Source organism: Homo sapiens, chromosome 6 (genome assembly GCF_000001405.40).
Source record: "Homo sapiens chromosome 6, GRCh38.p14 Primary Assembly".
Lineage (NCBI taxonomy): Eukaryota > Metazoa > Chordata > Mammalia > Primates > Hominidae > Homo > Homo sapiens.
The window spans coordinates 72263347-72279088 of record NC_000006.12 but is presented as its reverse complement, the minus strand read 5'-3'; the positions used below and the strand labels follow the sequence as shown (position 1 = coordinate 72279088).

Sequence of the window (15742 nt, the reverse complement as noted above, 5' to 3'; positions counted from 1 at the left end):
ATTAAAGGACAAAATTAATAAAATCATAATTATTTAAGACTATTTTATAACAATGAAAACATAGTCTGTTCTGCCTTGGAAATACTGTAACAAAAGTCTACTACATAATGTTTTCACTTAATTAGAGCTAACACTGATATCATAAGAATATGTCTATATTTTGGCTTACTACTTACATGGCTTATACTGTCTTAATGTGCAAAGCAAATCTCTATCACCCTATTTACTCATTAAGTTTGGGAAGGAAAAATTAAATTTGAATAGAATCAACCTAAATAAGAGATGTTCCTATGCAGTGAAGATGGATGCATGCAATTAAGATACATTTACCTTCCTGTATATTATTGATATTTATGTATACGACTGTAGCTATTAAATAGACTCACCATATTTTAGTTCATGGATACACTTTGTTCATTCAAAGAAAGAGTATTTTTGAAAAGCACAGATAATAAAGGATATTATAGAACAAAAAGAAATAATAAGTAATGTACTGTATTTATTTATAAGTGGTTCTACACTAACTTTGAAAATATGTGGCAACTGCCATGAATCCTGGAAGCAAAAAGTTTGTGATTTGTTTGTCCCAGAATATTTTCAAAGGAGAAATAAGATTAATTCATTTTAAATCAAAAGAAATCACTTGATACTCTTGGTTGAGGATTCTTATAGACAAGTAGCTGCTACCAACTAATAGGTATAGGAAACTACACAAATTTGGTTATCTGCAAAAGAAACTAGAGCCACTTTAGCAGAACAACTCAGGAATTAAACATAGTGGGATGCTTTACTTAATTGAAAAATTTAAAGTTCTGGAAATAAGATTATTTAACCAAATATTTTTGGTATTTGAGTCATGCACTACTAAATTGTACCCTTAAAAATCATATATAGATAGATAGATAGATAGATAGATAGATAGATAGATAGATAGATTAAAAACCATTCTCAATCAAAATATTGAAGATAGTAACTGCAGTGATTTGTAAAGCCAGTGACATGTTAAAATATACCTCAAAATGTACCCAATGAAAATATTGCATTTTCTTGAATAAAACATTTACCAAAATAGTTTAAAGTTTTATTTAATAATAACTTACACTAGCCTTTCATTCTTAAAGACGATTGATTAAACTGTAAGCACTAAACTCAGAACTCTGATGCTTCAGGGCCATATTAAAATATATTTTTTCTAAATGGCTACTTACAAATTTTGGTTAATTTCAAGCTACAACTCAATCTACATTTAATTTACACTCATATAATTACGTATATATAGGTTCATTAGCATTTTCATGTATTAAAATAGTGTTATTTCTAAAGAGATGCTTTGTTATTGGAATGATGATTTTTTAAGGGTCAACATTTTTAGAAATAAAACTACAAGGAAATTTTCACTACAATTTTAAAATCGAAAACATCCCCTGGGATTCCAAATTTATGTATTTTTTCTTCATCAATGTTTTAAATTTCCTCAATTTCTAGAAAATATTCTTTTTTTTTTTTTGAGACAGAGTCTGGCTCTGTCGCCTAGGCTGGAGTGCAGTGGCGCGATGTCGGCTCACTGCAAGCTCCGCCTCCCGGGTTCACGCCATTCTCCTGCCTGAGCCTCCCGAATAGCTGGGACTACAGGCGCCTGCCACCGCGCCCAGCTAATTTTTTTGTATTTTTAGCAGAGACGGGGTTTCACTGTGTTAGCCAGGATGGTCTCGATCTCCTGACCTCATGATCCGCCCGCCTCGGCCTCCCAAAGTGCTGGGATTACAGGCGTGAGCCACCTCGCCCGGCCTCTAGAAAATATTCTTAGATAAAAGTACCTTCATGTTAATTCCAAATAAATCTATGGTATCACTTGAGAAAAACTGAGAATGCTTACTGTTAAATTATGGAGAAATGGTTCTCTAAAAATTGTGTGTCTGTGTACACATATATGCTGTGGGAAACAAGAGGGCAACTAAAAGCTTTTCAATTTATTTGAATGTACTGGATAACTCTCTTAAGGAATAATTTACGTTCTGCATTACAATGTTATTTTCAAAATAATCAACTATGGCCCTGATAGAAGATATCCAAAGTTGAATTGTATAAATTGTCATTAACTTTAGAATATTTTCCTGGCTACCAGTGTCCAACAATAAAAGTCACCTAACGCTGAAATTCTTATGAACATTCACTATATCCAAATCTGATGCCATATTTACTTCATTTAGAAATTGGTAGAAACTTCTGAATGAGTAAATAAAGCTGATGAGAAATGAAATGCCAACGTTCATTACGATTTGCCAAGTGGTTGACATATAACCTATGAATGTAGCATTAGTGGACATAATTTATCTCTCATTTTATACGTACATATTTGTCTTATATTTTAATAAAATTGTATTGTAAATAATTCTCTATTCTCTATAGTAATAAATAATAGTATCAAGAGATGTAAAGTGTATTTATTTTGGTCGAACATAGGACTTATCTATAAATATGTTATCATAAAAAAGCAAAATATGTATTCAAAATTATGTATTTAATAATAATTTATTTTAATAATCTTATCTAAAAGGATCATTTCTGGTCCCAAAATCTACTCTTATAGTTACATATACTATCGAGACAATCAAATGGAATAATTCATATACCACTAAATTAAGCTAATAACATCTCGTGTATGTAAGAACTGAAAGTATTATTTGAATTTCCATTTTGCTTAATCAATGCCCAGATAAACTTACATTTATATTCATTACAAAGATCATCATGTTTAATTTTCCTATACTCAATCAATACAGAAGATGAAATCTACTATTTTATTTGTTTTGGAATACATACAAAGGTTTTCTAGAATTATCTTTTCTTTTTTTCTTTTCTTGGGGATCGGAGGGGGCAGGTTCTCACTCTGTTGCCCAGGCTGGAATGCAGTAGTATGACCATGGCTCACTACAACCTTGACCTCCTGGGCTCACAGACTGTGTGTGCACCTCACCCTTCTGAGTAGCTGGGACTACAGGCATGTGCCACCACACCCAGCTAATTTTGAAACTGTTTGCAGAGATGCAGTCTCACTGTGGTGCCCAGGCTGATCTCAAACTCCTGGGCTCAAGTAATCCTCCCCACTTGGCCCTGGCATCTCAAAGTGCTGGGATTGCAAGTGTGAGCTACCATGCCTGGCACAGAAGTATTTTTTCTAAAAGAAAATTCTAAGTTCCCTGATGGCCAGGACTTTGTCTGTCTTAATCACTGTTGTGACCTAGCCATTTGGATAGGGTGCATAGTAGGGGTACAATAAGTTTTTATTGAATAAATGAGTAGCAATATAGATATAAATTTTTATTGAATTTACACAATTATTTTATATTCTTTTTTGAGAAGACTCTACATTTGTAATACTTTTTAGATTGGTTACTAGTTTTTCTAGTCCCAGAATTTCTATCCTAGAAATCAGACAGTAGCAGAAAGAATTATATTTAATTTCCAAATATGTAAATGTAAACCATATTGAGGCAAGTATCTTAGAGATTAAAAGATGCTAAAATGTTCCTGAAACCTTCATAAAATATCAGTTTGTAGTCTTTTCCAGTATTTGTAAAACAACCTTAATTTTTTTCTTGGTGACAATGTTTCCTTTTTCTTTCAAGCTAAAATCCTGAGGATATCTTGATTGTTTACAAATACATAAAATAAATTGTGTCACGGTTAACTAGGGCTTAAATTACTCTGCCGTACGCACACACACTAAAAAAAATCTGTACATTTACATGACTAATTATGCTGCTTCTGAGATACCACGTCTACTTATCTGCTGAATAAATATTACCAATGCGTTGGCTGAATTTCTGCTTGAACCAGAAGAGAAGCATCTCAAACACCCAAAAACCTTTGTGACCAGTCAGGAAAACACATTTAAAGATAAAGCATATATATATATATATATATATATATATATATATATATATATATATATATATATATATATACCATAAAATAGGAAAACTGGGTCAACTTCACACTGAGAAGAATAACAAAGTAATGGAAAATATATGTTGTGGCACTTCTGACATATCAGCATAAAGTGGATTCAAAGCACTGATGCTATTTTTAAAAACCTACCTTGGGGACTGACCCCTTAGCCCTGGACAATATTGTGTTTAACAATACAATATTTATAAAATATATAAAAACCAGGTATTTTACTTAATAAGACAGACATTATTTAATATAATCAAAGCCTAAACTTCATTGTTAACAAGTGTACACAGCAGCAAAACAAGACAACTGAGATAAAACCATCAACCAATATAACAAATAGGCTCTGTGACAGATTTTAATATACTCTAAAGCACCTGAGAATTTTTATTTACTTGTCAACAAAAACAGTATTTAAATTTGTTTCCAGAAATTCAAAACACAATCAAATGCTCTTCAAAACAGAACATCCTTTCAATGGATCCTGACTTCACTGGGTTTAAACTCTGCCATTTGTATGCTATCCTCATTTCAGTAAATATTCTGAGGTGCTTTACCAGAGTTGGCTACATCTAACATATCTGGCTCTGGCTCCTGGAATAAAGTACATCATATTCAACTTTTCTCTTGGTTATCCTTCAGTTGGTGGCCTATAAGCTTCTAGAAGCCACTTGTCTGTGAGGAGGAGTTGACTAGTACCTGTCATTCTCCGGAGACGCATGCTGGATTTGAATCCTGGGACTAGGAGGTCGTCTCCTATCTAGGGAGGGGGACCATCTACCCCTGTTTGCCCAGTGAACAAGACAGGAAAAAACAGGACATTTAGTAACTCCTAAAATAAAAGAATACATGGAACAAGAGGACTGGAAAAGCACCCCATAAAGGCAAAGTGTAGATTCTTTGCTCCATAATTTAAAATCTTCACTGTTATAAGCCTTGGAAAGATAAGTTACAATACTTTAAGAACATAAAACCTATAATCTTATAAGTGAATAAAGAAACAATTTATTCGGGAAGATGTTTGGAATCCGCCTATTAAGTGTAGTTTTTTTCTTCCAAAATGTGCTTCTATGTGCATATTTAATCTATAAATATACAAATATTAATGTAACTTTAAGTTCTTAAAGATGCATCTTTAGGAATATGGCTTATGTTTGAATAAATAGGTTTAATAAGCTACCAATGATTTTGTGATACCAGGCCTTGAAATTACTGGGTAGAGTTGCAAAGGTGGGGATGTGTGAATTTAATACAAAGTAAGGAGCACAGTTAAGTAGAAGAAATAAAAGTGTTCTTCAGTGTTGAAACCGTGACATGAAGAAATAATTCATGGGAAAACTACAAGTGAATTCTTAAGTTTTCTTGTCAAAAACCACAGGGCTAATTACTGAACTTTAAAAGCTGTAAGTAAACGATACTGATAAATAAAAGCAAAGAACATAGATACATGAAATGATAAATTAGCATTAATTTTTTTTAGTTTCACTGGTTTTTATTTGCAAAAGTATGTCAATTAAATGGATGCTTTTTAGCTCAGCATTTACAATACTTTTCTTGCGATTAACAGTAAACACAAGTTAGAAAACTGTTTCATTCCTTTGTTAAGCTACCTTTAGATTCTGTCTGTGCACAGACACAAATTTCAAACATCTAGTTAAAACTGAGGAAATAAGACACTGAATGGGTCAGAATTAAAATTTTTTATTTATTATATATGAAAATTCTAACAGGATATTTTTCTCTAGATATTGGCTTTCTTGTATGAAAGAAGGAATAACTGGATAGTCTTAAAGGACTCATTTAGGTATAAGATTTTATAATTATCCAAAGGAGTCTAGTCCTACCATTTCAAAAAGAAAGTTTTCTTTTTGAAAACTTGCCAGATATAACTTGGTTTACTGAATATTTTAGACCATCTGGCCAAACATAGCAAAGGGCTTCTGTCACTCAGGATATGCGAGGTCATCAGATACTCAATTCTGAAATTCTCTGGAAGCCTTTGTTTAATCTATCTTAAATAGACAAACTTGGCATGATTCAAGTCAGGCTTTGAAGAAGCCATGAAGCAAGTGAAAATACTGAATAGCAGATTTTGAGCAGAAGATAAAAATGTGTGGAACATACTCTTAAAGGTGATAAATGTTGATGAAATAACATTTTGCATTAACTTTATTTAATTTTTAAAAATTATTTAAAGGATTGGTCAATCCAATCTGAATGTTTTAAAAAGTTTCTTTTCACTGTACTGGCTTTTGTTTATAGATAAAATGAAGAAATAGTTGTAAAATAATTGGAAAAGAATTACGACGACAGCATTTTCTACATTAAGGTATATACTCAGTTGTGTTAAAACTTTTGGTGTTATTTGGAAACATAAATATAGACTTAGTATTTTTCTGTGAAGTAACAATATTAACTGGACAGAATTATGAATAACCTTGCTTCCTAGGGCAAAATTCCAGTCCTTGTGCTTATTTAAACATAAAAGTAAAGAAAAAGCAAGTAAAAATGGCATAATTATGAAACATGCAGTGAAAGCTGTGGAGGAGAAAGATGTACATTTAGAAACAAGCAATTGTGAATGCAAGCGATTAAAAGGTAATTTTAAACGAATATTTGGTTTAATACACGTATATTTGTACACTTAGAGTCCTTCTGAATATGCTGATATGTAGTACCAATATAATAAATCTGTTTGCTTTTTCCCACATACAGTGGATACAACGAGAGCAGGATCAATTTATATCCAAGCTTTTGTCCTAAGAAAAGATGTCACTTAAGTTTTAATAACACATCTTTGTAAGTTTTAAATATACTAGCATATTTTATATGCTTTCTATAATAGGTGCTACTTCTGGTTTTTTTCCCTATTACAAGGAATGACCAAAATTAGAATCTTTATCTCTCTTCCCAACTCTGGTTATTGAGAAATATACATAGCTTCAACTTTCATTTCTATTTTCATTTTACAAGCTAATATGGCAGGCTACGTTGGAGATTTTAATCATAAAGTTGAACTAAACCGGTCCTTTCTTGATTTGTATTTCCAAACCAGCCTACCTAAAAGTTCATTGCTTAGTTACTTAGTAAATTATTCATACTTTAGTATCAGGTATTCTAAATTCATTAATTGAGGAACATCTATTTCTTGGGAGCCCACTCCTTTCACTGTGATCAGAAGAAAAGAAGAAAGATCACTCTGGAGGCTACAGGATTGAATAAAAAGGCTGTGAACTCCCTGCAGAAGGAAATACAGTGAGGCTTTTTTGTTTTTTGATAATTGCATCCATTATGCATAGCACAGAATAAACAAATATTTGTGAATGTTTAAGTAAATAATGACATAAGGCTATTGGCTTTGGGGATAAAGAATAATGAGAACCTTAACCAAGAAATAGACAGTGCTATTGACATAAGGGGATTGAGAATTGATAGGCCTCAGAAAGCAATTAAATGATACTTATGTTGCAGCTCTTCCCTCTCCCCCAGGCATTGATAAACTTTAAAACAAATGTATATGTGTATTATTAATACCTGTACTTGCATATACACACGTCTTTCAATGGTGCATATCTCTTGGCAGAACATGGCTAAGAAGCTTAACTATCTAAAAAAGGCATTAAATAAAAATGTAAGTCATTAATTCCATAAATAGCACAAATTAAAAATATGAGGTATTACAACATTAGAAACCAAAACAAATGAGATAACTGATTATACACATATATATTTTTATTGTGTTTTCAATTAATAACTTTAGTCCTTAAAATTTTTTCCCTATTATTTTAAACTAAATTTCACTTATTTTAATTAACATATATATATATATATATATATATATATATTTTTTTTTTTTTTTTTTCCTTGAGATGGAGTCTTGCTCTGTCACCCAGGCTGGAGTGCAGTGGCACCATCTTGGCTCACTGCAACCTCTGCTCCCCGGGTTCAAGCGATTCTCCTGCCTCAGCCTCCCTAGTAGCTGGGACCACAGGTGCACACCGCCACGCCTGGCTACTTTTTGTATTTTTCATAGAGACGGGGTTTCACCATGTTGGTCAGGCTGGTCTCAAATTCCTGACCTAGTGATCTGCCCGCCTCAGCCTCCCAAAGTGCTGGGATTACAGGCATGAGCCACCACGGCAGTACTTCTACTTTGAAACAAGATCTATGATACATATTTCAATTTGATATATAACTATTGATTTTTAGGTAGGAACCTCCTTTCCCTTAAGTCTCATGTTTCCATTTTGAGGGAAATTCATTCAAGTAAGCCTTTCCTCATTGCACCCCAAGGAAGAAAGAGTGGCTTATATGATAGGTGACCATGGTAAAGAATTGGGCACAGGAAACTTAGCCCTTTCTGGATTCCTTTTTCCAAATTATGATGCCTGCAAACAGCACAACAAACAAACTTGTAAAGCAGTGATGAGATCTGAGGCCTGACCCTGTAGCAGAAGTTTGTGTGGCTCAGTGAATCTGGCTGATTCTGGGATTAGTTATTAGCCATCTTGCAGACTCAAAGCCACAGCTTTCAATTCTGTTCAAAGTACTTATATTGAAAATTAAATCTCCCATCTTTCTAGTACCTGGGTCTAACTCACAGCTCAATCCAACTTTGAAGTGAAAAGTAGAAGGTGTTTTTTAAGCCCCTAAACTCCCCAAATGAACGATTTACCAAGTAAAAAATACATCATGTTGTCACTATAGATGGAAAAGAGAAATAGGATATTATCCCTGCCCTCAATTAGAAATTATAACATTAAAAACCAAACAAAATGAGATAACTGATTACACACATATGTATTTTTATTGTCTGTTCTAATTATTCATTTTAGTCCTTAAATATTTTTCCCCCAATATTGTTTTAAACTAAATTTAACTTATTTTAATTAATACACATAGTTATACTCTGAAACAAGACCTATGATATCTATTTCAATTCAATTTATAGCTGTTGATTTTTAGCCAAGAACTTCCTTTCCCTTAAGGCTAGTGTGTGTGTTTCTTCCACTATATGGTGATATCGTGGAAGAATATCACAATATAGTGGAAGACACAAACATACTACAGTACTAAATAAAATACAATGTATTTTAATAGAAGTATATAAAATTAGGTGGGCCCAGAAAAGATAGTAAATAATTCTGACTGGCAAAAGAAAAGGAAGTATGTGCGTGTGTTGGTGGCGGGACTGAGGACAGGGGAGGAGGTTAAGAAGGGTTTTACAAAGATATGGTATTTAACCTGTATTTTTGAACAGTGAGCAGAATTTTTAATCAGACAACAAAGGAAGAAGAATATTTTAATTTTAATAGGAAGAAAATGAGATATAAGTTAATAAAGACTATTAGAACTTAAGAAAATTAATGGGAGCAGGAGTGTCACTGGAACTGGAGAAGGGCTATCTATTAATATATTCAAGGTGAGGGACCTGTTCCGAAGGAATTGATTGAATTTATTGTGACTGAATTTGTGACGGAGCAGGAAGAGAAGTAGTTGCAGATTGTGTGGCTGGTTATATGTCAAAACCATAAAATGAGAGAAAAATTTAGAAAGAGGAAGGATTTTGCTGTAAAGGGACTGAAGTGGGGATAATGAAGTTGATTTAGACATCATCATTTAGAAATTTAGGCCTGACAGGGTCTGGTCAATCATAGTGGAGGGTTGTCTTCATATGTATTGGAGTGGGAACCTTTTATAGAAATAAAATTTAAGGAACAGTACAGTATGGGTGGGGCAAAAGAAGAAAACTGGAGGTGGAGCTAGGGAAATACCTATCTTTATAGGACAGCGGAGTAAGACAAGCCTTCAAAGCAGACATCATAACAGAGGTTTAAGAAAATCTGTAGAGGTACTTAATGGAAGAGAGATTCAAGTGACAGGGTGGGTAATGTAAAATGTTGCAAGATGTTGCTGAACAACTAGGGAGCCAATGTAAACCACAGAAGAACTTCAGTACAGCTACAGATTACAGGAATTACTGGAAGGTAAAAAATGCAGGCGGTAAGTTTAAACTACCCTTTCATAAGCCTTCATCAAGGATATGATTGCTCTGAAAGGCCAAGGAAGAAGGTAAACCATCCAAGAAAAGTAAGTTTTCTCTAGTGGCTCTAAAAATCATTGCTTCTGAACATGTAAGTAACAATTTGTTTGAAAACCTAGAAAAGCAAAGGTTAATAGCAGGCCTGTAACTCACTCCTTGCCAATCAGGGAAGCAAGGGAAATGGGAAGATATAAATGATAAATTATTTCTTATTACAAATAAACCTCAAATATATTGATTTAAGAAGCATAACTGAATTGGAATAATTCACTGAATTATGGTAACCCATAAGCATGTTTTCCATCTGTGTAATCAACAGAACATGAAATGGAGGTGCTCCTAAACTAAAACGGTTTCCTTTCCAAACTGCTTTTTACATGCATTATTCAAAACTCATCTGTTAAAGTAGGCCAAACTATGTAACAAGGGAGAAACGATAGGTGTATCTGATGGTTTTCAATTCCTTCAGGAAAAGAATGCTGCTCTTTTATCTTCTGAATCATTAGAAAAGTATTATATTGAGTACTGAGTGTGCTTTGACAATTTCACCCTTTATCTTAACAGAAAACTTGTGTTAAAGGTTAGGAGTTAAGTTGGTATAAAGGCATGTAAATGTTAATCAAAATCGTTTGACCATACATAGTTGACAAATTTGTAGAAATAATGTTCATCTCTTAAGAATATAAAATTAAGTTTTTAAAACATTTGCTCTAACATTTTATCTACTATGTATATATTAGGCATTAATACAATAATCCCTGCGGTAAATTAGAAAAATTAAGTAGCCTCGAAAACCCTCTAAGCCTCCCTTCTCATACTCTCCGCATACTGTCTAGGGGCTTTAGATGCACTCTCCAAAGATAACAAAGTCACCACTCTTGATATTGTTATCTTCTGCTTCAAAGCTGCTTCATAGGCGTGTTCACAAAGGGTACTTGTAGTCTCTATCCTCCAAACCAATAAGCATCTACAGCTTCTGTAATTACTTGATGAAACCTTATCTAAGTTTTATTTTACATTACATAAAATAATTGTTTATTTTACATTACATAAAATAATTGCTGTTCTTCTTGGCAATAAAGTGATCCCAATAAACTTAGGATCACTGATAATACCAAGACTTGTTTCATTGAGTTTTTAAATGAAAAATTCCTTTTTATTCAATATGTAGAGTGAATATATGTTTTCAATATTTTTTCTTCTTTTATTCAAGGTAAATACACCCACTTGGACTTTACAACAATCTGTACAATAACTGTCCCTAGATTATTTGCCTGCTGGTTGACCTGCTTTAAGGGTATTATCTGACAGATTAAATTTGCCAACATGGAGATTTATAAACTCTGTGGCTTCAGTGTCACAAGGGAACATATGCTAGACAGGCTCACCATAAGAATAGACCTGCACTGTCCAGTACAGGAGCCACAAACCACATGAAGCCAATGAGCACCGTAATGTGGTTAGTCCAAAGTGGGAGTGGTGCAAGTACAAACTATCTTTAGTATCTATGGCTTATTATGCTGTAAAAAAGGGAGTGCAAAATATCTAATAGTTTGTATAATAATGACATGTGAAAATTATATTTTGAATATACAGGGTTAAAAATTAAAATTAACTTAATCCTTTTAGTATGGCTACTACGAAATATTAAAGTATCAGCTTGCATTATGTTTCTATCAGATGGCACTGATATGGGTAATATTAAAAATGTCAGGCTGCTATGGTCAGAAGATTCCACTAACTTGAGAATTTCTATCCTTGTTTTACTACTAACCAGAAACATATAAGAAAATAATAACTAAACATATTTTAAAATTTTCTTGCTACTCTTGAAATTATTTGGGGAAGGGGTTATATTTGACTAAAGAGAATGATAAAACAATTCCAATTATGATTTTAGAGACTCTATAGTCCTTTCAACTAAAATTTATATTACAAAAGTAAAGGGATACAAGACAGAAATTAAATTTCACTTTTTTCTATTACACAGTTTACAAATGTAAAAGAATACACAATTTAAAAGTAAATTCTTAAGGCACTAAAACAAGGTATATACACACGTGTACCTATTGTTCAATTCCAGAAATAAATATCTCATAAATAAATGAATAGACTCAGATTAGAAAGTTACCTAAAGAAAAGCTTTAAGTAGCCTACTAAGAAGGAGGAGCGGGTTACATTAGTACAACTAAATATTTTTCTTCAGGATTTGTAAAGAGGTAGTATGCAAATGTCTTCTGAATGACTTCTAATTAAAAAGAGATAGCCATTATAAACAAGACTATCAATTATAACTAAGTCTATTAAAATTATAACTAAGTCTATTAAAAGAGTTCCATCACAGTGGAAAAATTAGATGCTTACAGCTAGGAGATAGTGTAACACAACATCAATGAATATATCAGAATTTATTAATTAAAGTTTTAAGCAAAATTGTCTGTGTACATATATATGTATTTCTTTTTGTTAGGCATCAGGAAATTTATGAATAACATCATTTTTTGTTGTCAAAGTATAATTTAAGGTAAAACATTATATCAAAGAGTAGATTGATTAAAAATGAATGTAGATATACAAAGGAAGTATTCTATTTAAAAATACTTCCTGTTATGAGTTTATAGAAGATTGTTGTTAAACCTATAAATACTATTTATCAGTGGTACTAAGAGGAAAGTGATCCTCCCCTTCGGATAATTCACTGGACCTTATAACATTATCAGCATACTGAAGGTTTCCTGAATAGTCAATAAAATGACTGAACAGCAACAAAAGGGGAAAAGCAGCAGCCAGAAGCAGTTACAAATTACACCACGCCATTTGCAACAACATTCATAGAAATATGTGTATGTGTACCCTTGGGTTTATCCACATACGCATATCTCTAAATAGACATGTATAATAAGGGAAGGGGAAATGTAGACAGTTAGCAAAGTATACATGAATGAATAAACCTGTAAGGCTGTCATGAAACAAAACAAAGTGACTGAAAAAAATCACTAGTACAAATGATAAGAAATTAAGAAAGTCTTTATTTTATACCTTTCTCGTTCTGGTGAATGCAAACTAGTATCTGGTCTCAAGCAGTTGGTACTAGCACTCCTAGCCCTGTCAAGAAAGGGCTGCAGTTCACTAGTGCCAGTGCATTGCATCCAGTGGTAGAAGAGAAAGACAGAGAAAACAAAGAAAGGAAGACCATGTTAGAGAGTAAAGCATAAAATAATGTCCCCTTTACACAAAATGTAGAATCACTGGGATTCAGTTCATAAGGGTGTGAGAGAGTTGACAGAATGACAGTGTAAAATTTTGTTTAGAAAATGAAGCTAAACAAAGATTATGCTTAAATTGCTTTGCATAATTTTTAAAAGTGTCTCAGACTGAAAAATGAGACTAAATCACACCTACTTATGAAAAAAACTGGATACAGAAAGCACTAAAACAAAATGCCTAAAATTTCATTACCAGGAACAGATGCCACACCAAAACAAAATGAAGGACATCAGAGGAGAAATAATTTTACAACTCAACTTTTTTGGTTCACAACAATAAACAAGGGAAACGGAAGATATCACTTCCAAATGTTCTTACCTAACCAGTATTTCATCAGTAAATCTCAATACTGTTGAGTTAAAGCATTCATGATGAAGGGAAATGTCCTGTCTAGTCACTGATTTGGTCTTAGTATGTGCAGGCAGAATTGAGCTCCACAAATTAAAATTACACAAAAATAAAATAAAATAAATTATAATTAAAATCAACAAGTACAACAATATACAAATGACAAAGCAACTAGAATTCTGACATTTGAGTTAGTAGATGTCATTCAGAGAATTATTCTAGTACTAAGTTTTATAGTTAAAACGATTTTAGATATCATTAATTTAATGTCTCTCACTGTATAATTATTTCAAAAGAATATTTTATTAGAATGTAAATTTCCTATTTAATATTTTATTAGAATGTGAATTTTCTATTTTTAGTAGGCAAGGGATTAGGAATTACTTTATAACTGGGTGGGACTCACTGTTAGGGCTCTTACCTGTAAATATTCCAGTGAGAACTGCTCTGTAATAAAGGCATCTTGGGAGGTAATGTTTTATAGTGCCTAACAAGATGTCTGGAACGTAGCAACACAAACACGCAGGAAACAGAAAAATATATATGAAACCAATTTTATTAAGATATTCAGAAAGTAGGAGGCCTATAAAGCTATATAGATAAATCTTTGGTCATTTTTTTCTCAAAAGAACCACAATAACTATTTGAAGGGAAGACTACAATTATTAAAATATGAAATCATAGACACTTGACTTCATAAAATACTCAAAATTATTATTTAATTATCTGAATTAGAAAAATACCTGCTAACCAAACTCTATGAATTATCATTGATCAATATGTAAATGTGCTACTTAATCTCTGATTTAATATTATGCCTACTTCTACGAAAGTAAACTCATAGCTAAAAGTAAAAATCAACTAATTTATATAATTTTAGAGTTACAATATGACTAAAAGAATTTTAATGTTCTAAAACAAAACAAAGTGTTGACTAGCATTCCAGGGACAAAGCTGGTCATAGTACCAGACTGCAGCAAAAAAAAAGGAAACAGAAAAAGGCCAAGAAGTGATTGCAAAGGAGCAAGCTCTTTCTACTTATCAGCTTCTGTCTGGATCCAGACCCAACCACAGGAAATTTTCCTTTGGAAGTAGGGTAAGATAGGCATTAGATGCAAACCAGAATATGGATTTTGAATTGGCAGAAAATTGGCCCAACGGCATCTGATTCCTTTAAAATCTGTGAGGGTTTCTGGACTGTCTATGCCATGAAGGACAAACTAGGTCCAGCCATATTTTTTTTGATAATTTAATAATGTTCTATAAATTTAATTACTAATTATGAAAATCCATCATCTATCTCAGCTAGCAGTAAAGCATAATCAAGAGGGAAGGGAATAAACATTTATCAAAGGCTTCCTAAACATCAAACACCTCACTGGTTTAATCATGTTTATATTAATGATCAAATCAAAGGAAATCCCTTAAAACTTCAATTAAAAAATGAACTAAAATGCCATTTTCTTTTCTTTTCTTTTTTGAGACAGAGTCTCACTCTTGTTATCTAGGCTGGAGTGCAATGGTGTGATCTTGGCTCACTGCAACCTCTGCCTCCTGGGTTCAAGCAAATCTCCTCTCTCAGCCTCCCAAGTAGCTGGGATTACAAGCACCTGCCACCATGCCCACCTAATTTGTGTGTGTGTGTGTGTGTGTGTGTGTGTGTGTGTGTTTTAGTAGAGACGGGGTTTCACCATGTTGGCCACACTGGTCTCAAACTCCTGACCTCAAGTGATCTGCCCGCTTCAGCTTCCTCCTTATTAAGTACAAGTTGAGGACAAATTTTACTGAAACTAAGGATTTAGCCTCCTTTCTAGACAGTCGACTCTTCTTTTCAACTCCTAACCTCAGGCAAATATCTTTAGTAATAGGTTGCTATAAAACTTTTCTAAGCATTGCTTCAAAAGTGATTTTTTTTTCAAGAATGGGATCAACATAGAATGGGAAACAGCTAGAAAATAGCACAAAATTTATAGTCTGAATGTTCAAGTTCCTGCCTTGGCTTTGCCACTTATTGGCTGTGACCTGGGTAATTCGATTAAGTCTCCAAGCCTGTTTCTACATCCACAAAATGTGGGAAATAACTTCCACTTAACAGGGGTGTGTGGTAACATGTACACAATATTTAGG

At 33.0% G+C, this 15742-nt stretch overlaps 1 protein-coding gene across 89 annotated transcripts in view; it reads right to left on the bottom strand.

Moving 5' to 3' along the window:
• Positions 1–15742, bottom strand: part of RIMS1 (regulating synaptic membrane exocytosis 1) — a 516596-nt gene that overhangs the window by 124057 nt on the left and 376797 nt on the right. For 46 of the 89 annotated variants that reach the window (XM_017010517.3, XM_047418419.1, XM_017010522.3 and 43 more), the window contains one exon: positions 13040–13129. The exons of 32 other annotated variants lie outside the window; for them this stretch is intronic. In XM_017010517.3, coding sequence (XP_016866006.1) covers positions 13040–13129 — 90 coding nt within the window. Of the gene's footprint in view, positions 1–4656; positions 4741–13039; positions 13130–13585; positions 13700–14036; positions 14115–15742 lie in introns of all 89 variants that reach the window. 11 more of the 89 variants (NM_001350437.2, NM_001350433.2, NM_001350415.2 and 8 more) reach the window with 4 other exon arrangements.